Below are 24974 nucleotides of genomic sequence, written 5' to 3' on the forward strand. Positions count from 1 at the left end.
CCTAACATGATCTATTCTGGAAAATGTCCCAAGTGCAGTTGAGAAGAATGTGATTCTGTAGCTGTAAAATAGAGTGTTCTGTAAATGACTGCTAGGACTATTTGGTCTATTGGAATTTCTTTATATGTAAATTGAAGTTTTTCTCTTGATCATTTAAAAATTCTGTTTTGACAGTTTAGGTGTAATGTGCCACACACACAAAAAGACATTTTGGGGTTGAATGGGGAAGCTTTGAGCTTCCTGAATCTGGATGTGTATATTTCTTCCAAGACTTGGAAAGTTTTCAGCTATTATTTTATTAAATAGTTCTTCTGTGAAGTTCTCCATCTCTTCTCTCTCTAACATTTCAGTAATGTGAATATTTGCTTGCTTAATGATATCCCATATTCTCTTTTTTATTCTTTTTATTATTTTTACTTCTTATTTCTTTTTTCCCTTTTTTATTCTTATTTCTTTTTACCCCTTCTGACTGGATCATTTCAAAAGATCTGTCTTCAAGTTCAGGAACTCTTTCTTTTGCTTGATATAGTTTGTTGTTGAAGTTCTCAATTGTATTTTTAAATTTATCCATTGAACTACTTAGCTCCAAGATTTCAGTTTGGCTCTCTTTTATGATATCTATTTCTTTGTTAAATTTCTAATCTAGATCATCAATTGTTTTCCTGATTATGTTAGATTATTTGTCTGTGTTCTCTTATAGCTCACTGAATTTCCTTAAGATCATCATTTTGAATTTCTTTTCTGGCACTTCATACATTTCCTTTCCTTTTGGGTCTGTTACTGGAGAATTACTGTGCCCCTTTGGGGGTGTCATATTTCTTCTTGCTTTTTCATGTTTCCTGTGTCCTTACATTGGTATCTGCACATGTAATGAAACAGTCACCTTTTTCAATTTTATAAAGCAGTGTTTCATAGGGAGAGACATTTTTCTGTAGATGGGTCCTAGGGTGTCAGTTGGGTATAGTATATTGGCTTTGGTTCTCAGTGGACTCAGAAGCAAGGTGTTTGTGCAGTTTCTTCAGTTGTAATTTTCATCAGTGATGTTTCCCACTGCTTTGGTGGCCTAGGCTGTGAAGTTTGTGACAGCAGTGGTGCAGTTTTTCTGGGGATGGTGTCACTGGGCTGGCTATCAGACTAGGTGCATGTGGGAGTGGAAGGCTGGCCAGCTGTGCTACATGCTGTCCAGGAAGCAAGGCTACCACTATCCTGTCTGTAAGGCCATGTGCACATGGGCATAGCAGACCAGCAGGATGGTGCAGTGGCTGTATAGGGGGGCAGGGCCACCTGCATACTGGCTATTGGGTTAAGCATGTGCCAGTACAGGTACAGTGGTCTGGCTGGCTGTGTGGCAGGCTCTCCAGGTGGTAGGACCACTGCTGTACTGGCTATAGAGCCAGATGCAGGCATGCACAAGTGCAGCAGGCCAGCTGGCTCTGTGTTAGCTTCCTCTCTGTGAAGTTTGGCTTATTCTCAGGGTAATTGAATGCTGCATGATTTCAAACACTGGGGTCTCAGCTGCTTTGCTGGGCCTACAGTCTAGGGAGCCAGGGTCATGGTAATGTAGCCACTCATGTGAATATGGTAGAATAATGGCAGAGCCTAAAGGATGGAGACAGGCAGTGGCTACTGACCCCCAGGGCAGGAAGCACTCTAGTAGTGGGTCTGGAGTCAGGGTGGTGCTGTGCTGTAGCAGCCTAGGACACAGGGGAGTAGTAAACAATGTAGGCTCCTACTTTGCAATGTAGTTGTGTGTTCTTCAGGTGACTCTCAAAACTGGATGTGGGGCTTGTAGGAGTATTCTGCAGCAAGGACTGCAGGTGTTTGTGGTGGTAATGGGGACTGCTACAGGTTTCCAGCTATCTTTTTCCTCGTAAGAAGTTCCTTCTGGGTCTGAACCAATTCTGGTGGGGAAGACAATGTAGCAGATGTAGGTGATTTGCTCACCTCTCTATGATGCTGTGCTGAGTTTCTGTGCTGCATAAGAATTTCACCACTACCTGGGTGCTCTCCAGCTTACTTCTTCAGTCAATCCACTTGGAATATATTAGTTTATTTATTGTTTTGGTGCCTTTTTTTTTGGAGGGACAAGCACCAAGTAATTCCAGCTGGCCATCTTGCTGATGTCACTCCTTCCTATTTACTTTCTTAACACCAGAGAGCAGGGTTTGTGATCAAATTTTAGTACTTTAAATTCCCTATGGGTAAGTACTTTTTATACCTTTGGGTTGATAATGAAAATAGTTGAGCCAGTTGTAAATATTTCCTTTTGGTGAGTGACAATACATTTTTTGCAAAATAAATGACTCTAATTTAAAGAAAATTATCTGCTGGCCTCTTTCTATGTTGTTACATTGACTAAAACCCTGTGACTAGATCAACAGTTTCAGATTTAATTAAAATATTAAAATTGCACTCATATGGGTGGCAAACAATGACATGGAAAGAGATTGAGTCTTTTGCCCAAAGTTACATGGCAGAGGTGGTATCATCATTAATACAATTTATTATCAGGGCAATAAGTGGGTTTGAATTTGCAAGGATAAGAAGCTAACCTCAAAACACAACAAAGAAGAATGATTGATGAAATAGATGAGAAGATGACTCACCACCAAAGAATTATGATTGGCACGACTTTTATAACTTGCTTCTTATACTTGATCTCAAAGCACTCAATAATGAAATTAAGAAAACATTTAAAATGTTCAGCTTATGAAATTTATTTGCTTTCCTAAGATGGCATGCCCATTCATGACACTTGGGTTCAATGCACATATTTAATGGTAAGAAATCTAGCTTAGAAAAATAATAAAACAAGGAGCCATCAAAGCCCAAATCCACAGTCATTTTTAAGACACTGTTAAATGTTGCTTGCATCATTAAAAAAATTTTCATGTGCCTATCACTGAAGAATCATATACCCAATCTTAGGTAAAAATAACTGCATTTGCCAATAGTTTGCAGTTGAAATAAAAACAAAACTCTTCAGCCAGAGAAACCTTTTAAAATATTTCAATATTTGCCTATATCAATTTCCTGACATATATTAACTAATTTATGCCCTCAAGAGGTATTTTTTCAAAGACAGATTGTGCAGGTCCTTTTTCTCAAGCAATTTATAGTTTAGAAAGGCAAATCAGCAATACTTATATATCAAGAAATTTTATTAGGTATTTCTGTTAAAAATATTGCCCCACTTTGTAAACATGTGAGAAAATTATATAAGGTGGGTTTGTTTCAAGACTTTTTAAAAAAATTTTTTTTGAAGTAAAATATGCATATAAACTTTGCCATCCTTAGTATTTTTAAGTGTACAGTTCAGTGGAAATAAATACATTTATATTCTTTTTCCCCCCTATATCCCTCCGCCTACCAATCTTAATGAGATCCATTACTTTTTAGCTCTCATATATGAGTGAGAACGTGCAATGTTTGTCTGTCTGTCCTTGGATTATTCACGTAAGAAAATGGCCTCCTGTTTCATCCTTTTTGCTGCAAATGACAAGATTTCATTCTTTTTTATGGCCGAATAATATTCCATTGTATATATATGCCACACTTTATCCATCTATTCATTGATAGATACTTAGGTTGATTTCACATTTTGGCTGTTGTGAATAGTGCTACAACAGACATGAGAGTGCAGATATTTTTTGACATATTGACTTCTTTTCTTTTGGATATACATCCAGTAGTGAAATTGCTGGATCAAATGCAAGTTCTCTTTTTAGCTTTTTGAGGAACCTCCATACTGTTCTTCATAGTGGCTGTACTAACTTACATTCCCACCAACAGTGTATGGAGGTCCACCTTTCTCTGCATCTTCACTAGCAGCAGTTATTGTTTGTCGTTTTGATACAAGCCATTTTAACTGGGGTGAGATTATACCACATTGTGATTTTGGTTTGCATTTCTCTGATTATTAGTGATGTTGAACTTTTTTTATATACATTTGTTAACCATTTATATGTCTTCCTTTGAGAAATGTCTGTTCAGATCTTTTGCCCATTTTTAAATTGTATTATTTATTTCTTTTACTATTGAGTTGCTTGAGCTCCTCATATATTCTAATTACTAATCCCTTGTCAGATGGATAGTTTGCAAATATTTTCTGTGGGTTATCTATTCACTTTGCTGTTTCCTTTGCTATGAAGGAGCTTTTTATTTGGACATAATCCTATTTGTCTATTTTTGCTTTAGTTGCCTATGATTTTGAAATTTTACACAAGAAATCTTTGCCCAGATCAATGTACTGGAGTGTTTCCCAATGTTTTCTTCTTGTAATTTTATAGTTTCAGGTCTTAGATTCAAGTCTTTAATACATTTTGATTTGATGTTTGTGTATGGTGAAAGGTAGGAGTCTAGTTGTATGCTTCTGCATATAGTTACCCAGTTTTCCTAGCATCCTTTATTTAAAAAAACTGTCCTTTTCTGATTGGAAGTTTTCAGAGTCTTTATCAACAATGAGTTGGTTGTATATGCATGAAACTGCTTTCTGTATTTCATTCCACTTGTCCATGTGTCTGTTTCTATGCCAGTACCATAATGTTTTGGTGACTATAGCTTTGTAATATTTTGAAGTAAGTTGGTATGATGCCTCCAGCTTTGTTCTTTTTGCTGAAGATTGCTTTAGCTATTCAGGGTCTTTTGTAGCTCTATAGATATTTTAGGATTATTTTCTGTTTCTGTGAAGAATATCATTGGTATTTTGATAAGGACTGTATTGAATCTGTAAATTGCTTTGGGTAGTATTGCCATTTTAACAATATTAACTCTTCCAATCCATGAGCGTGGAGTATCTTTCCATTTTTCATGTGTTTCATCTTCTATTTCTTTCATCAGAGTTTTGTAGTTTTCCTTTATAGATGTTTTACTTCTTTTGTTAGATTGATTCCTAGGTATTTTAATTTTTTGTAGTTATTATAAATGGAATTGCTTTCTTGATTTCTTTTTCAGATTGTTCACTGTTGATGCATATAAATTTACTATTTTTTGTATGTTGATTTTGTGTCCTGCAACTTTACTGAATTTATTTATCAGTTTTAACAATTTTTTTGGTGGAGTATTTAGGTTTTTCTAAATATAAGATCATGTCATCTGTGAATACAGCTAATTTGCTTCTTCCTTTCCATTTTGGCTTCCCTGTCTTTCTTTCTTTCTTTTTTTTTTTTTTTTTTTTGAGGCAGGGTCTTGCTCTGTCAACCAGGCTGGACTGCAGTGGTGGGATCTCAGTGCAACCTCCGCCTCCTGGGTTCAAGTGATTCTCCCACCTCTGCCTCCCTATCTGCTGAGACTACAGGCACCCGCCACCACACCTGGCTAATTTTTGTATTTTTTTGTTAGAGACAGGGTTTCACCATGTTGGCTAGGATGGTCCTGACCTCAAGTGTTTCGGCCTCCCAAAGTGCTGGGATTAAAAGTGTGAGCCACTGCACCCAGCCTGTATGCCTTTTATTTCTTTCTCTTGCTTAATTGCTCTGGCCTTTCTAGATTTTTAAGTGTATATGTAGGCACATCTATTTTTTAAATTATTTTATTATTTCATTCCTTTTAAATAATTTATTTTTTTAGAGATGGCATCTCACTCTGTTTCCCAGGCTGGAGCGCACTGGTGTGATCATAGTTCACTGCTGCCTCAAACCCCTGGGCTTAAAGAATTCTCCTGCCTTAGCCTCCTGAGTAAATAGGAAAACCGCTTGAACCTGGGATGGGGAGGTTGCAGTGAGCCGAGATCGTGCCACTGCACTCCAGCCTGGGTGACAGAGCAAGACTCCGTCTCAAAAAAAGAAAAAAAAAATAGCTGGGAGGGTTACGTCAAGGGATTACATTCTGGATTTAATCCCTCTCTGTTACCAAATGCCTGAAAATTTCCTGATAGTTTTTGGGGCCCTATCCTGCCCCCCTTATATCTGCCTGTCTACCTACTCTAACAATAATATCTGCCTCATAGGGCTGATAAGAGGATTAAATTAGTTAATATACCTAAAGGACCATCAATTGTGGCTGTCACATAGTAGTAAATTAATAAATATCATAATTGTTAATAGTAGTATTATTTCACCAAAGCAGCAAAGTTACTTTATTGAAGAAAATAAGTTTTAAAGTTAGTTATATAAAAATATTTTAATATTGCACAAGTGAAACTGTGAACTCATTGATTCTTTTTATTTCACATTCAACCAGTTATGATAATGGGAAAACATAATCTGAATGTAACATTTTCTTTTTATTTATTACATGACACACTAGCATTTAGCTCATAATTTTTTTTGACATTTTTTACCCATGAGAGTTAGTTTCAGCTCTTCATTCTTGCTTATAGTTTCTTGAATCCAAGTTTGGTATTCCTCACTTTTCTTATGAACAGGGAGATTTTTCTGAACAGGGAGATAGCACAATTTCATAGAAAATACATGCATGTTTGAATTGAACTTGATTTTTAATTTTTGCATAACATTTTAATTTATGTGTAATGTATGTGTATCTTAGTGGACCAATGATTTAATTGCTCTGAGCCTGAATATCCTTAGGTCTAAATTATAAACTATAAAGCATACCTTGCAGGATTATTATGTTACCTATTATATATTTAAAATAATTTGCAAGTTGATGGCACATAATAGATAATCAATGATGGCATAAAGTTAAACAGAAACATCAGAAAAGAAGCAACATTTCCAACATATAATAAAAATTAGAACAAAAATAAGACTCTTCACCTTTAGTTTTGGAAAAAATTAAATATTTTAAAATTATGCAGTATGGCAGAAGGTTGGAAAAAACTGGAACCCTTACAAATTGTTGATGAAAAGATAAAGGGGTCCATTCTATAGAGAACAATTATGTAGTGTCTATCAATGTTTAAAAGACACATAGTCTTTGACCCAACAATTCCACATTTATTTAACTTAGGTAAGAGAAGAAAATAAGTGCAACATGCCAGAAATCCAGTAAAGCAGTTCAAGTATCAGAAGAGCGTGAATCAAAACCAAGTGCAAGAAGAGGCACCTTGACATTGAACTGAAGGCCACCAGGTACTCACTGGGTCAATGACTCTTCTCATTTTTATGTAAGTATGAATCATCAGGTGAACTACTTAAAATGCACATTCTTGGACGAATTTCTGCAAAGCTGATGATTCTGGTCCTCAGAACATACTCGAAGTACCAAGGTTCAGGTACTTCCTGCTAAAGGAGTACTTAAACAAAAGAATAAAGAAATGGACACTTCAGTCCCCATGTCTACCCCTCCATGTCAGTGGCCAATAGCACTCAAATTCAGAACACCTTTTCTGATGACCCCATACTGTGTCCAGAATCCAGCCCAACATAATGTCCCATTTTCCAAGTGTAAATTGCTCAGGTATACTTGCAATATGTTAAAATGCTAAGCCCCTTTCATATTATTTCATGTGGTGGTAGGGGTGATGGTGGTGGGGTTTCAAACTTAGGCATGCACCAGAATCAGCTGGAAAGCTTGTTTAAATGAAGATTGCTGAGTCCAGTCTGGATGCTGGGTGGAGTTTTAGATTCAGTAAATCTGAGATGAAGCTGAGAATTTGTGCTTTCATAAGTTCCCAAGTTATACAGATGCTGCTGGTCAGGGACCACAGTTTGAAAACCACTATCTTAATGCAATTGCTTCTGTGCAAGAAAACCAAAACCAAAACCCAAACAAAAAAGTTCATGCCAGTACTAAGTGACAAAAACCAAAAAGCTCTAATAAATTCAAAGGAAATATTTTTCTTCTTTGAATAAATCAAACTGGAAAAGCAGGACTTCTCAATCCTCCCAGAAGAAACAGGAAACAGGATTGGAAAGGCAACTTCAAAGCAAAGGGCACTCCCTGGAAAATGCCCCACATCCAAGCTGAGAACAGTAGAAGTGTGCAAAAAGAAAAGTCTTAATCACTCTCTGAAACAAGAGCAACATTGACTCATAAGATGTGTAAGCATTGTTCTTAAATGTAACACTAGATAAGGATTCATCTTGTGAACCATAGGAGGAGGGAAAATATCTGACAGGTACCCATTTAAAAACATTTCATAACCATTCTCTTGATGAGTCTGTTGAGATGAAGTACTCCAGGTTGAGTTGTAATCTTTTACGTAAAACAGGAAGAAAAGAAGTATTCCGTGACATTCTTACTTTCCTCAAGCATTAAGACTAAAGAAATAATCAAAGAGAAGCAAATGTAGAAATGTAATGTAATTCTTTGGATGGAAATAGTGCCTTTAGGAATAAAATTAGGTTTACTTGACAAAGTTTATCCAGGGAATAGTTTGGGGTTGTTAGTGAGCTTGTAAATTGCCACTGTTACTAAGTGACTTTTAGAATACTTATTGTGAACATCAGTAAGCTTGTGGATGGTTTTTCTTTCTATCCCTGATGTTAATTGAACTAAAAATAAACCAGACATTTATCCAGAATGATTTACCACATCAATTATAAATTATGTATTTACAAGATTTCCTCTCAGATTTTTAAATCTTGGATTTTTTAAAGATGAATTAACACCTTACTTTGAGAAAAAAAATTATTTACCTCTGGAAATTCATGGGCAAGTTAGCCAACAATGATAATGTGTATCCTAACAGGTGTAAAAGATTTCTGGGGGCATAAGTTTGCTCTTTAAAAAGGGAAAGGAATTACTAGATTTAGAATAACTTTCCCCAAAGCAGAACCTGGAATTCCTCCAACCCCTTTAAGTTCTTTAAGCCTAATAGTTTCTTTTTGTTGTTTCTAATTATTAAGTTATTATATAAAATTCAAGACCATTTTACACATAAACAGCTAAAAATGAAATTTCCCCAAAGTCCATTAAGGGGATAGATGTTCCTTCTAGAATTTGTATGTTGTCTATCATTTAATCTCTCTATAACTGTGTGTGTGTGTGAGTGTGTGTGTGTATGCTTATCTGTGTAGTAAATATATTTATATGCTTTTATTTGCAAATAATTTGTACCTTGCTTTTTTCATGCAGCACTGTGGAGATTTTTCTATGTTTATTCTATATCAAGATGTCTAGACCTATATCATTCACTTGATAGTAGTATGGGATTTCAGAATAGAGACACTAGTTCAGTTTAATATTTGTCCCATTGATAACTTTAAGCTGTTACCAGCATTTTTGCTCCTTCAATCAATGCTGTAATCAATGTTCTTATAAACACAACTTGGTGTACATATACAACAGCTTCTTAGATGGCATTGCTGAATCAAAGACTACATACTTTCAAAATTTTGATTGATTATGCCAAATTATCCTCCAAAGAGTTTGTATCAATTTATCATTCTACCAACTGTGAGAATTATATTTTATGCATCATCTCTCATAGTGAATGTTATTAAATATTATTTCCCAAATTAATAGGTAAAAAATGACATCTGGTATTCTTTAAGTTTATTATTGTTTATTAGTTAAGTTGAAAGGTCAGTGGAGAATTCATTCTAGTAACAGCAGGAGGAAGAAGGAAATGAGGGCAACAGCAACATTCAAAGAATATTAGATAAGGCAAAAGCTTAGCTGGTGAAATAGAAAGACCTCAAAATACAGTGGTCTAAATAATATGTAAGTTTCTCTCTCTCTCTCTTATGAAATGTCTGGCCAGTGTGGGCTGATGGGGCAGCTCTGCTGCAGGTGATTATTCAGAAACTCAGGTTTATAGCATTTGCTACCCCTAGGATATGATCCTCTTCTGTATGGTAGAAGCTGGGTTGCTGCATATCTATGCAACCTGTGGGAAGGGGATACCTAGCTACAAGGGAGGTTGAGATGTGGTTTCTAGCTAGACATTTATGCATTCAAAACCCCAAACACTAGATTTTAGCAACTTTTTACAGTGGAAGTGATGCTCCTGACAGCTGCTTCTCAAATGGACGAATTGTTGCTTTGCTCCAAAATTCTATGTATATGCCCTGTATGTCCCGGAGGCTTCATATAGTATCCCCAGGGATGAGAAAAAAAATGTTTGCCAGGTGAATAGTTGCTATCCTATTAAGCAGGAGCTATGTTAATTTTCACCAGTCTAGATATCACTTTTAGCATAACAGCTAAAATCAGATAAAATTGTTGATAATTCACAACCATTCTCCAAGGACCATCTAACCTTCTTCCCTGGGGCTGATTTGCAGTGTCCTCAAAAACTTCCCAGGTCTAGAAACTGAATGAGAGGCTATAAGAGGTCGTGAATACCCCCCGCCCTTTGGCAACTCAAGCCAGATTTCTGTTTAAAAGACATACACTTTTTCCAATTATATAGATCAAGTAATACCTCATCAACTGCCCGTCCACTTTATTACAGGGAACATTGTCATTAGCCACCGCCACAGATTCCTGCAGGTCAAAACACTGATTGCCACCCCATCTCTGTGGCCGATTATGGTAATTGCAACCACCTTTTCTCTGAAGGTTAAGCACTACCACATGGCCTTTCCTACCCCAGGATTCCATTATTCTCATTGAAATGAGAGATTCCAAGAAATGAGAGATCCTAATACAATGGCCGCATCCCCCACCTTTATTTTCAGTTTGCCAAAAAGCCACTTCAAAACTTTCTGAAGATGCTATTCTCTTCATAGTGAATTTTCTTACTTGCCTTGATGGAAAAGAGTACTAATTTTTTAATGCCTTCACAGAAAAAGGTACAGTGTTCTCTGGCATCTCTTGATGGACAGAGAAGGAAGGTGTGTATATTGCATATAATAAATCTGCCTCAAGACCTTAATTCTCTAAAGTCTTGTGTTTTTTTTTTTTTCTTCAAATTAGAGCAAGAAAGTTCTGGCAGATTAATATCATGAAATGTTGTTTTTCATTGAATCCAGGCTTCAGAAGCCAACAAAGGAAACTACTAGAGGTGCTTAAAGTTGCCTTGGCTGGCACACTAATTCAAAATACTGGGAAGTGCATCTATTATCTATTGATGAATTGCCTCAATTCACCCTTATATTTTGTCTTCCTCAATATAACACTCTTAGAAACCATCCCTACACAGGTTATAAGGTGCCTGATGATCCAGTTTTAAAAGATCTTTTAAGTCTTATGATATATACTCTCTTTTTGAAATAGGGTTATCAATTCTATACCTGAGGGCTGCTGAGATATAGCTCTAGTTACGGGTACAGAGGCAATGAGAGATAGTGGGGGGTGGCTTTTCAGAAGAACTGGCATCCCTTTGTAGGTCAAAAGTGCAGATTAGGTCATTGAAAGGTCATTTAAAGGTCTTTCTGCACAGAAAGTTTATTTTTCTAACACTGGGAAAGAAAGGCTCCTTTTTGCAAAATAATCTTCAAGTGATTTAGAAAATCAAAGTTTACACGTTCAAATGGGTCTATCCTATCCAAATATCCTCATCCCCAGTCTCACAGTGTAACTTTTCAACCAATGCCCTAACTTTATCATAAGTGCTTTGGTAATTATGTGCATTTATAAAATGCAGCAATTCTGCTACCTACGCAATTATACACTGGGGCCCAGTCTTCAGGCATGTCTGCCCTGTAGTTACTAGATATAAGGGATTCTTTTAAGGTTCATTATAGGAGCTGTCTAGTTTTCCACTAGTGCTTTGTGTTTGAAATTTAAGTTGCTGTGCATTTTTCTTTTTTTTTGGTTAGCTCCCTGCATAGTCATAAGTAGCTAGCCAGCCCATACTTTTTATAATTACCATTATTGGATCCTCCATCCTATGCCAACACTGGCAATAATCTGAGTAATGATGATACCACAGCAAGCCATTACCTATCTCCTATCTTCCTTCAGGAAGATAATGCCTTCATCCAACACTTAACAAACCAGCTTCTGAATACCCTATTGAGGAGCTACTTTATGTGGCTATTCCTGGTAGTAAATACTGTATTATTCAGAATCCCTACAGGAAATGATTCTCCCCAGATGGTTCAAATGCAGAGACTTTAATGAAGGACTACTTATGGATGTGTGTGGTGGGGGTGAAGGGATAGTGAGCCATCCATGGACTAACATCAGTAAGAAAACATATTACTCCCAGGACAAAAAGGTCGGGGAGGAAATGAAGTTACTCAAGCACAGAGGGAGCTAGGATTATTAAAAATATGGGTCACTTGGTTGAAGCATTGGTCTTGGAGGGATGCAGCTAGTGCTAAATATACCTGCCAACACATGGAAACATCAGGGAAGAAATACTCTTACCTCTCTTTTTTGTATTCTCCAGTCTCCTGCCAGTGCTTCCAATCGCTGAACTGAACTGGGAACAAATCAACAAGGGAAACCAAGAGATGCATTCCTTGAAGTTCAGCCTCCAGGCCTCAAGTAAGGCAGAGGAAGAGAATACATAGATCTGTGGAGAAGAGTGGTGATGGTGGGAGCTGCCAATAAAGAACTATCAAAAAAGGTAACTATCTCACATGTCATCTCATTTTATCGTTGTACAAATGCTGTCACCATTTCCCTGCATTTTATAAATAAGAAAAGTGAGGGTCAAAGTGGCCAAGTAAGTAGCTCACATAGCTAGTAAATAGCCATGCCAAGGATGAAACCAGATCTGTCTAGTGCATATTACAGTCCTTCCTCTGCCACACCATATCATGACTTAAACATTTAGATCTGAGCATGAAAATGAAAAGAGATCGAAAGTGATAGAGTTGGGAAGGGGAGTGGGCACACACAAAACATGCGTTTTTGACATTCTTGAAACAATTTTAAATACATGTTCTTAATAGAATTTATAATAATATGAGAAGATTTATTTACAAGTTTTTTACTTACTTGAATGTAGGGCTCATGAGGACAATGATTTTGTTTTTCTTCTTTATTGCTATATTCCTGGTGACAAGATCATTGCACAAAATTTAGTAAATTTTCAAAGAATATTTGTTGAATTAAAAACTAAACAAATGAATAAATTAGTGGGTCAGGATATATGCATGTTCCTTTGGAAAACTAGTAACATAGAACTGTAGCCTGAAATAATAAATTTTTAAATAATTATTCATACCATCAAGCATTTCCTGAATATTTCCAGGAAAAAAATATCAAGTTATATAGGTATCTATTTTCTTGTTTAAATACAACAATTGTAGTTACACCTATGCTAAAGGCAATCAGTTCTGTCTTTACACCAAGTTTTGACCTCTATAATAACAAAATAATATATTGACCACAGTAACCTTTTAAACACTTATTAAGAAACAGTTATATAAAAATTATTTCTCTTATTTAAGATAAAAGTCACTTGTCCTTTCATCTTTTCCTTACACAAACATTTCCAGATTAATTACCCTTTTGTATACCCTCTTCTGTGCATAGTTCAATTTTTCATTAATTTTCTGAAAATGTTAATACTTGGTAACATAAACTTAATATAGTTCTTCATATGTTTACTGACTTATCAAGAGCAAAGTGGAGTGATTGCCTTCCTTTTCTTGGGAAATATATCTCTGTTAATTAACCTATTTGGGAACTACATCTCTATTAATTAACCTATCAGTAAAAACAATTTTCCATTGTGGCCATATTCTGTTGTTAATTCAAATCGAGTATGCAGCGAACTAAAAGCATCAAGTAATTTTCACAAAAACTACTCTTAAACAAAATTCATTGTGTATAGGTCCACCTGATAGTCTTAAGACCAAATTTTGAGTTTAGCCACTGGACAATTTGCAGAAGTGCACCCATATGTGTTTTGCCCACCACTTTATCTGTAACATGTAGCACAGTAGCTCATATACAATAATAAAAGGAATAATAATGGTAAACATTTATGAGTGTTTACTTATTTTCCAGGCACATAATACATATCAGATTACTGTTTCAGTCACTAGAGTTGGCTCCTGACTAGTTAGTGAGACTTTATCATTACCAGTTTTGGTGACATATCTTAAATTCCAGGTTTAAGATGATAGTAGGAATTCATTGTGATGAATTCATTCATTTCCTTGTAATGTTTTTAAGGCTCACTTGGCACTGAATAGAGACCTCAGATTCTAGTCTATTTGATCTGAATAGACTCACAATGAGTATTACCAGAGCTGTTTCATCCCATTTACCTAGCACTCACATTTTGTTACATTTTCCTTTTCTAATTTCTTATTTTTTTAGTTAACTTTTTGTATAACTTTCCTTATTCCGTGCTTTAACCTAAACCATGGAATCAGAGGTAGAGAGAATGAAGGAAAATCACTGCAATAACCAAGGATGTACTGGGGTTTGGGAAGTATAATTATGTTTGATAAACACAAGAGACAGACAAATGTTTCTGAGAATGCTTGCCTATCTGTATAAATGGCTATGAAATCCTGTGTGTTCATTTGTAATTGGCATTACTACATGAGGTTGATAAAATGTGTACAAATCATTTTCTAAAATACAACATTGTCTTAAATGCAACATTTATTTTTAATGGAACCTATCGTATAATATAACACCAGTGGCAAGTCACATCACATTTAATGTGCAGCCTGAGGTGGAGTCCAGAAACAATGGAATATTTTATCTCCCATTGGTCACTATAGATTCAGTAATTTTTCTCAATTCTCCTTCCTGCCATGTGTCTGGCAGTGCATGACTATGAGTGGAGATTTCTCTATTCCACTGATGTTCAGTTTGGCCACATGAAGTTTTTGGCCAATGAATATAGAATTCTGAGTCAAGATCTTAAGAGACATCCTAGGTGTTTGCTTGCCTCCTTGGGCTTCTGTGAGCCACTGTGAAGAGAACATGACTTGGATAGCTCCTGGTTCTAGGGGTATGTGGAGACATACAAAGCCCACTCGTAGTTAACCTGAAGCCTGGGATGCAGCACAGTCAACTCAGCCTACAGCAGAGCCATCCCTAACAAACCACAGACCTGTAGGAGAGGAAATAAACACTTGTGGTTCCAGTGCACTGAACTTTTGAGTAGTTTGTTATGTAGTATCATAGTAGCTAGAGCTGATTAATACAGTTACATTGAATTGGGGGAAATTTTCAAAAGAAAGGATAAGAGCAAACAAAGTTAAAGATGATGTCAGGAAAGGAGCACAAGAGAGAACTTCTCTTTTTAAAAGCTAAGAGAGGAATGAAAGTTATTAAAAAGAAACAAAGTTCCATTTGCCTTCAATTCCTGGCCTGCTCTCAAACACTGGATTAAATTAATTGTTATCCCCATATTAAAATTTCAGTTTTTAGGGTGCCCACTAGTGTGAGTAGTGAATAAAAATATCTAGTAGCAAAGGAATAGTCTAATTTTCTCAAATAGGAATACACTGGGAGATGAAAGGTAGGCACAGACGGGCTGTGTAATTTCAGCCTGCCTGAGTCACAATTTCCAGTGAAATTCTGTGTGCCTCTCAATTAGGTTTAAATGTTAGAGGTCCATTTATAGAGTACAGTATATCTGCTTTTGATATCCCAATCATATGTCATGGAAAAAGTAATAGGGACTTGGGGAAGAAAAGAAAAGAAAAGAAAAAGACAACATTCTTAAGAAAAAAAGTTCTGAAACATGACGTGAGTTGAAGCTTCCTTTGAGTATCTCTTTGCTCCCATCATATTAGGAGAAACTGCATGGAAAAACTGATCCATTATTTTTAAAACTGGAAAATTAGAAAATTACTCTTCAATGCTTTTATGAATATATAACTAATGAGAAATAAATTCAGTTACATTCTTTAACTGCTACCCCCTCCCCCAACATGAGTGATGTCTCTAATTCAGCATGACCTACTGTCAGCTCAGGAAATTTCCATCCTGAGATTTTCCTAGCAGAGTCAAAATCAGTCACCGTCAGAAACAGATAAAAAATGTTTTAAATGAGAGTGCTTGAAACTGCATTTAAATTCTATCTTGAAAAGTTGCAAAGTGCTTGGTTAATAATTTTCCATAGTATCATTTTTAAACTATTTTGGCATGCTCCATAAACAATACGTACATTTACTGTTCACATAGTTAAGAAAAAGACCTTATATTTCTTGGAACAGAGTATCTTTGAGAAAACAGAAATTCATCCCAGTCCACTGACATTATCCAGCTCATTACAGGTGACAGACAGGTTTGGGTAGACCTTGGCCTGGCAGTAGATTGGAATGAAAGGGGAATTTGGAACAGGTTGGTCTCTCAGGTATGGGTTCCAGGTGGAAGAAACATTGTTTGGATTTTGGGAAACCTCCCTCCCTTTTTCCCAGCTGTTTAACAACACATTCTGCAAAGATGTTATTTCTGTACTATTCTAGGCCTACTGTTAAGAGAGTCCCAAGATCCATCCATTTTCCCTTTATTTTTTTCCCCTAAATTTTGTAAGGCTGTTTCAGAAAGCCCAGTGAAGAGGCAGAAACAACACATTTAGGAGACAGAGTCATAAAGGAGATATGGATTCATAATCTAGTCAGTTATTAATTACATAGTGAGTAGACTAAGAAACAAGTAGAAAACTTGTTTCTACTTGTTAAACAAAGTTGAAAACTTGTTTCAGCTTTCTATCACTGGGATAAAGGAAACAAGATGGAAGAAGAAGGAGTTCATAGACAACCCAAATCACAATTAAAGCAAAAATAGTCAAATGGATTTGATCAAAACATTTATTTAGGCAATATTCAACATTTGGGAACAAAAGTACGATTCTGTAGGCATCATTCAAAAGTGTAAAAATAATATAATTTTAGTTCACAAAGACCTTAAATTTCAAATAAACTTTCATAAATCATGAACAAAAAATTTTCTGTTAGTCTGACCTGTTTACATTTAATAAATTTATCTTTTGTCAATTATTGGAGTAGGAGCTGTGCAAGGCAAAATTAAAGCCCATGCTCCCTTCCTTTCCTCACTTAATTCCTCCAGTTTCACAGCCAACATAGTGGCTTTGTCTGGGTTTAGGGCTGACCCTATAATTCACTCTCAGAAGATAGACCTAAGCCAGGGTTAAGTTGGAGCTGGGACTGAATCACCTTCTCACCACCTACAGCACCAAGTGCAGGATCCAATATGTAGCAAAGGCTTCATCAATATTTGTTGTATGAAAACGTGAATAAGAGACTGTTAGCCAGGAGAGGAGTGTTGATGTTTAAGGGGCTCAGTTCTCAACACCTCTCTATTCTGTTTGACTTATGAACTAACTGAGAAGTAGGACAAAAGAGTAAGTCAGATGGGAAACAAAATAATTCCCAATGAAGCTAATAAAATAGAATATGGTTTAAATGTGCGGGCAAGTGAACTTCCAAATACTCATCCTCAGAACTAGATAAACTTACCTACCCAGGTACAAAAAGTACTGGACTACCAGATGCCTTCTCCCAAAAAGAAATGGGGATAGAAAGAAACAAGTTTATATGTATCTAGTTTTTTTCAGATTTACCCATCAGATTGAATGTTGTGTCTTTTTGAAGAGAAGCAAATGAAGGGGTAGAGAGAGGCTAAGAGCATCACACTGGTGGGATTCCTCCACATGGAAGGCAACATTAAAAATGCTAAAGAGCCGGCCGGGTGCGGTGGCTCACGCCTGTAATCCCAGCACTTGGGGAGGCCAAGGCTGGGCAGATCATCAGGTCAGGAGATTGAGACCATCCTGGCTAACACGGTGAAACCCCGTCTCTACTAAAAATAGAAAAAGAAATTAGCCAGGCTTGGTGGCGGGCGCCTGTAGTCCCAGCTACTCGGGAGGCTGAGGCAGGAGAATGGCGTGAACCTGGGAGGCAGGGCTTGCAGTGAGCTGAGATCGCACCACTGCACTCCAGCCCGGGTAACAGAGTGAGACTCCGTCTCAAAAAAAAAAAAAAAAAAAAAAGAATGCTGAAGAGCCATCCCCTCACCTCCCAATAGGGAGGACTGTTACAGAGTCAATAGGTGAGAGCAGGGGCACTTTGTTATACAAAGTAGTGTCCTCTGGTTACTTTTAGTTTCAGGCATTAAATCTCTATATCTTTTTTTGGTCGACTTTTGGGTAATTAGGAAAAATCTTGAAAGTTCCCAAATGTGTTGTCTCACTGTTTGTCTCCACAATTAGCATTAATCAGCCCCCAGATAATGAAATTGACTCCAACTTCCAAAATTGTCCCTTAAACATGGAGACAAATTCTGTGCCCACCATTATGGAGGTGTTACCAAATGAGGCCACTAATAGAATTACACATGAATCATGTGAAAAATTCAATGCTAACTAAGTATTTTAAAACTGTTTGGGGATTTGTGAAATATGATAGACTATAGAAAGCTTTTTTGTTAATTCTGTACATAATAGTATTTTAATACCACAAAACATGCCCAGGAAAATCTTCAAAACAGTCAAATAGGGCCAAGTGCAGTAGCTCACGCCTGTAATCCCAGCACCTTGGGAGTCCAAAACAGGAGGATTGGTTGAGCCCAGGAGTTCAAGACCAAGACTGGGTGACCTAGTGAGAACTTCTCTGTCCAAAAAGTAATAATGATAATAAAATAGCTGGGTTTGGCGGTGTGTGCCTGTAGTCCCAGCTACTCATGAGTCGAGGTGAAAGGATCCTTGAGCCCAGGAATTCAAGGCTACAGTGAGAGGAGATAGCACCACTGCACTCTAACCTGGGTGACAGAGTGAGCATCTGTCTCAAAAACAAAAACAAAAATGTAAATATGAATTTGTATTTTAGTCCCAAGAAAAACAGAACCCCACAAAGATCCAACTTTAACTGATTTTAGGGTAAACAGTCTTAGAAACTACCAAGCAGCACATGGTTCCCATCAGAATATAACTGAGTCTGTTCAGCCAAAAATTCACCTTTGAACTGTCAAATGGTTTAAAAGCCACTGAGAACATGGTCAATATTATTAAATTATACTCAAGAAAAGTTTTATCCTATTTCCTTTTCTATAAACAAATTTTTTCTGTTTCCATTTATTTTAAAGCAGCTAAAGCATATTTCAAATACTGACGAACGATTGAAAGTTGTCAAACAAATGAAATTATATAAATATATTGAAAGGATTACAAAGTTGTACCTGTCTGGGAAACTTAGAAACCGAATAGGAAAGATTTAAAAGAGGAAAACAAAACAAAAAAGCAAATAACCCAGGCCTAAATATTATATTTAGAGAATTAAGTTTGCCATAGAATTGTTTTCTTCTTGAATTAAAGCCAAGTCAGTGGAAACTTTTAATAAAAATCACATATTTGATACAAATTTATGAGTAATTCTGTCTCTATTTTTAGCTATATTTCTTATGGAAAAAATATAAAAAATCATGTAGCTACTTTTTGAGTTCATCTACTATGAAATAGTTCTGATTTCATTTGGGTTAATTACAAACAGATATTTCTTAATAGTTTAGACCACCTCTTCCTTAAACTCTTTTTCTATGATATTTTCATAAAGAGGGCATAATAACCTCTTAAGATTTTATATGTCCTTATAAACTTGTAGTATTATATTATCAAACAGCATATAATTTTGTGCAATCTTCCTTTACAAAATAATTTTAAAGAAAGGTTTTATGGAGAATCACATAAATATAAAAATACGAGAATGTTACAGAAATAAAGCTTCTACATTGCTATGCTTCCTTATCTTTTCGATTTCTTTCACCTCTTGTTTTTCCAACAAACTGCTTATGACTATTTGTCCAACTTCCCAGTGTGCATTGCCTCAGAGAGCTTCTACTCCAATCCAATGCTTTCCACACCCTACATTTTGGACCTAGGTGTTCTCCTCTCGCTTGTGGTTCAATCCTAATTTTGTACTTCCTAGAACTTTTTTTTTTTTTTTGAAGAAGCTATGTAAGTAACTAAAATACAACAGTTTTAAACAAAACTCATTTCTTCTCCCTCAGACTGCCTTTCCATTCTAATGTTGAGCAGCAGCTGGGGCACTGTGTCTATCTGCCTCTCAAGCCAGGAACTTTGCAGTTATACTTTTTCCTCCATCTTTCCTCCCTTACATCTGTTCTTCTCACAACACCTAGTTTGTCATCAAACTACCAAGGTTTTTTGTAGTAAAGTTTTTTCCCCTATGACATAGTACTCTGTTACACCATATCTTCTACAGTGGGATGCACAAAAAGACAGTTTATAGTACAAATATTAATTCCAATAGAATAGAGATAATTCTGCGTTACTGTAGTAATTGAGTTACAGAAAGTTTGGTCTCATTACTCTTTAGGTTGATAAAGTTTGAAGGTAGACATAACTACCTGGTGCCAAAATAACAATCCCAAGTATGGATTATTAGCAGCCTAATAAAAATAGAACACTATTTCTTTTAGATTTAAGGGTATAAAATTATCAATTAATATACATAAAATATTTGAACCCCTTCTACAGCAAACACTTTTGTATTCCTTAAAGGAACTCTCAAGGTGCTGTCACTTGTTCTGGCTTCTGGGACTGCTTATGTACTTTGGGGGCAGCACAGTTTCTGATACTCTGAGTAACAAGTTATTGGCACCTAAGATTCTTTAACCCTGGTGGTACTGTGACACAAATATGGTGATATTGGCTGTTCACACTCCTTCCTATAACTTCTCATTCCTTTTCCTGCTTGCTAGTTGATTTAAGAGCCAGCCATCTTATGAGACAGCTTTAAATTCAGCCTTGACTAGAAGCAGAGGGATGGATAAAATATAGATTTCAAGACCCTTTCATTCCTAGAAATTTTGCGTATTTATTTCTTAAAAAATTATTTGATAAGTAAGTGCAGTGATTCTGTGTTGATGAGTGCAAGAAAAATGTCATCGTATTAACTTTAGTCATTATGCAAAGAGAAGATAGCTGTATATTATTTATATATATATCAATTTAGTTTATATATTTGTAGTTTTTCCTTTGAATACCATTTCTTTGTTAAATAATATGAAAACTTCACAAAAATTACAGCAGGTTAATAAACAGAATTGTAATTTAGTTCATTGAAAGATACACAGATGAGTTTAACTAATCAAAATTCATAGCTATCTTACTAACTGAACTCATTAATCAGCTAACAGTGTAGTAATCAGTATTAATTAGCCATCAGCCACTTTTTTATGGTCATTTTACTAATTAAAATGTTAGCTTTGATTTGAAACATAGGAAATATAAATTGAAAACTACTTATTCTAACTACAGATTACAGTGAATTACAGTCACCAATACGTTATTGGTTTGTTTGTTAAAATTTCTGTGAGATGACATATCCAAGTCTTGTGGGTTATGTGGATAGTTCTACCTTAAAGGTGAATGGATATTTTGCAAGACTTAAAGTAAAATTTCATATCAAGTAAGTGCTAGATCAAATGGAAGAATTAACCATATATTTATATGTTCCTGTCATACCATTTAAGAAAAATAAAAGGAACGTTTTTATTCAAACCTGTAAATTACTCCTGTCATCTCATTGAGCATCTTAAAAGTTTTGAAACAAAACTTCATTTCATTGCAAAGAAGGACTAAGACATTAAGATATATTTGTCTTAAGTAATAAACTTTTCTATCTCCAACACAATAATGAACAAAGCCATTGGTGAAAGGGTGCAATTGAGGGATTGTTGTCCCTCTATTACTCTGATCAGTGTAATCAATATGTTTACAAACAGTACAGGAAACTGGAAAGAGAATAGAAGGAAAAAACAAGAAAATTTGTTTGTACTGTTCGTTCAGGCCCCTATAGCTGTGGGATCCAGGGATTACTCTAAGTAGAACTTCCAAAGGCCCTTTTTTCTTATTTATCTGAAAGACTGTTGTGATACAAAAAACACTCACGAAGGGACCCCCTAGAGATTGTTTCATTAATCTTTAATTCTTAAGGCAAACCTACACACAAATGCTCATATGAGACAAAGGAATTATTTTTATGGAGAATTCCACAGCCTCCACGAACACCCCATTCCAGTGTTTAACAACGGTCATGGAGTTCTGCCTTATTCTATAAAGTCATTCTTTGTCTCGACTTTGTGCTCTGACAAGATTGAGAACATCTGGTCCTCATTCCTAATATAATGACATTTCCTGCTCCAGAGTTCCTCTTTAAATCACCCTCAACCTTCTCTTCTTTAGGCTAAATTCCAGGTCAGCTCACTCTTCTCCAGAGTCATATATGCCGAGCTTTTCAGTATGATTGCCATCCTAATTCGTAAAGAGCCACTCTCCTTTAGCCCAGAACCAGTCCCTTAGCTGAGAGGACCAGAACTTCCCACCTGATTCCTGCTGAGCATTATTACATGACTAACCTTCCACATCTCTGTATGCTCGTTACCTTCATTTAAGTTCTCAAACATGCTCAAGGAAAAGAAACTATTTTATTTCAGAAAGAGACATTTCTTTCCATCAACTTGCTTTCCTTCTCTGTCCCAAGGGAAGATTGCAGATCACACTGAGCTTTGGGAGTCAAGTGGCAGACAGCTGTGGCTTCAGCTTCCAGCAGTCACACGACTCCAGAGGGACTGGAAGGTCAAGGGAAGCATGTAGAACCGCAGGCTGTTCACGTGGCTTGGAGGAGGAGATGACCCACCCTTAATAAAACACCGTCTGCCGGACATGCCATTGGGACTGGCATGCTAATTGAAAACAGCAGGAGTGGCTCTGCAGCTCTTTGACTTTAGCACTCAGCTTAGCATAACTTTTCCTTCCACAGGAAAGGCAGTCCTCGGCCAGTAAAGTGGTGTTTCTTAAAAAAAGAAAAAAATCCAAACAAACCACTGCTCTAGTAGAAGATAAAGAAACACTTATCTTTATTTTCTTTTTTAGGAAGTTCCATAGTATTTAATTAATTAATTTATTTTATTTTATTTTTTCAACTGGACCAAAGCTTGACACTGCTGTCCACAAATATTTTATCAAATTAGGATGGAAAATACCTATTAATCAAATTCATTTTTTTCAATATTATGAGTGCCCTGTTATTTTTACTACAATTTATTTTTCTTTTTTCTACATCAAAGTAAAATGGGCAAATAGTTCAATAGGTTTGTATTATTTTTATGGAATAGCAATGAAGTGCCTACCTCTCCCAACCCCAGTTTTCTTTCCTGGAAGCAACTACTTTATTCTCTTTTAGCTATTGCCTTTATTACTTACCTCTGTTCCTTTAAATAATATGCTTAGTGTTAGTTTTGGTTTTTTAATTTTAAGCAATACATACTGACTTTCTACTATGAAAAATTAACATTTAACATTTGTCACTCCACCTCTTTCTCATTCATTTTTTGTTTCCCTAGCCTCTCAATATAATTATATCATAATTTTGGTTAAATAGGTGATAAGTATTCACATTATTAAAAATAGCATATATATGTATAATGCTATTTACCGATGAGCTATATAGGATAAAATGATTATTCTTCACCATTTATATAGCATTTTATTTTCCTAGAATTATAAATTTTTCTCATTTTTTTCTGTTCATTTAGTTTTCTATATATTTATCATGAATGCATTTTTAAACTCTCACAAGTTATCTGTATCTCCTTTTTAAATGTTTAAACATCAAGTGTTTTATCAGTTCTTTCTTGTGGTTATATTTCTTCTGAAGCCTTTCTTGCACGCTAACTTCTTTGTCTTTAAATTGATATATCATACATGTACATAGTCCTCTAGAGTGTTTTTGATCTGCTGTAATCTGGACTAGTTTCTCTCAAAGCCATCATCATGGTCTTTCCCTTGGCCATTATACTGAGAATTCCATTTGCTTCCCTCTTGAGTGGATCTACTGTTTTCTAGATTCTCTCTCCTTTATGCGGATTTATTCTCTTATTTTGCAGTATTTGAACAACACTGTAAAGATTTCTCCTTGCTCATTTATTAAGCAAGGAGTTCCCTCACTTTCTTCTGTAGTTCTCTGAACCCTTTAATATTGGGGAAAGGATGATGTTGTTTAAATACTATACAGTATTATTAGTCACATTGTACTATGGTCTACTGAAGAAATTAAATATCACATAATTCCATTTTTAATTTTTTAGAATAAGACAACAGATGTCGGAGTAATATCTGTATTTTATTGAACTTTATGATAATATGGCAATCAAGCTATTTTTAAAAAGGCTCTGCTCTGCCACTACAGATAGCTAAAAGTTCAGGATAATATGTAATAAAATTTTAAAAATATATAAACTGGTTTCAAGTGAAAGGAAAATTCTAAGTTGGCAAATACAAAAAAAGAGAACTCAAACCAGATCAGGCTGTGGGGGCAGCTGAGACCATGTAAACCACGGGAGCTATGGATACAGATATCGAATTTAAGGGCTGGGAGATAGGCTATTAATGCCCAGCTGGGAGGAGGAAAAAGTCTTAAAACTGCAAGCTTTGAAGTCTGAGTGGAAAGAAGTCTTCAAATTCTTGCTTAAAATTCTACAGTCCCTTGCCATAGCAATCAGAATTAAGTCCACATTAGCATGGCTTACAAAGCCCTTAATCTGAGAATTTCCTGTGAAATTTCCAGCCTCAGCTATTTCCATGTGGTGCCTGAAACATATATACAGTCTTAATCAACTATACACATGGTCACAAGTAGGCTATACACATGGTCACAAATAGGCTATACACTCTTTCTTTTCCATTTGAAAGTTTTTTATTATTATTATTATTATACTTTAAGTTCTGGGATACATGTGCAGAACGTGCAGGTTTGTTACATAGGTATACATGTGCCTTCATGGTTTGCTGCACCCATCAACCCATCATCTACATTAGGCATTTCTCCCTAATGCTATCCCTCCCCTAGCCCCCCACCCCCCGACAGGCCCTGGTGTGTTGTGTGATGTTCCCCTCCCTGTGTCCATTTGTTCTCATTGTTCAACTCCCACTTATGAGGGAGAGCATGCGGTGTTAGGTTTTCCATTCCTGCGTTAGTTTGCTGAGAATGATGGTTTTCAGCTTCATCCATGTCCCTGCAAAGGACATGAACTCACCCTTTTTTGTGGCTGCATAGTATTCCATGGTGTATATGTGCCATATTTTCTTTATCTAATCTATCACTGATGGGCATTTGGTTGGTTCCAAGTTTGCTATAGTGAACAGTGCGACAATAAACTTATGTGTGCATGAGTCTTTATAGTAGAATGATTTATAATCCTTTGGGTATATACCCAGT

General features: G+C 36.0%; 1 long non-coding RNA gene across 7 annotated transcripts in view, besides 1 other annotated feature; it reads left to right on the forward strand.

Annotated features, from left to right (window-relative positions):
• LOC105377979 (uncharacterized) overlaps window positions 1-24974 on the forward strand; it is a 288164-nt gene that overhangs the window by 143056 nt on the left and 120134 nt on the right. For 5 of the 7 annotated variants that reach the window (XR_942936.3, XR_942937.4, XR_001744323.2 and 2 more), the window contains 2 exons: window positions 6910-7066; window positions 12185-12364. This is a non-coding gene — a long non-coding RNA (uncharacterized LOC105377979). The remainder of the gene's footprint in view (window positions 1-6909; window positions 7067-12184; window positions 12365-24974) is intronic. The other 2 variants (XR_001744325.2, XR_007059731.1) reach the window with 1 other exon arrangement.
• Window positions 22130-22725: an enhancer, noted in NCBI's record as "OCT4-NANOG hESC enhancer chr6:122253710-122254305 (GRCh37/hg19 assembly coordinates)". NCBI's record gives its function as "activates a minimal SCP1, AML or CMV promoter by ChIP-STARR-seq in primed H9 embryonic stem cells {active_cell/tissue: H9 hESC(primed)}" and the evidence as "EXISTENCE:reporter gene assay evidence [ECO:0000049][PMID:30033119]".

Source organism: Homo sapiens, chromosome 6 (genome assembly GCF_000001405.40).
Source record: "Homo sapiens chromosome 6, GRCh38.p14 Primary Assembly".
NCBI lineage: Eukaryota > Metazoa > Chordata > Mammalia > Primates > Hominidae > Homo > Homo sapiens.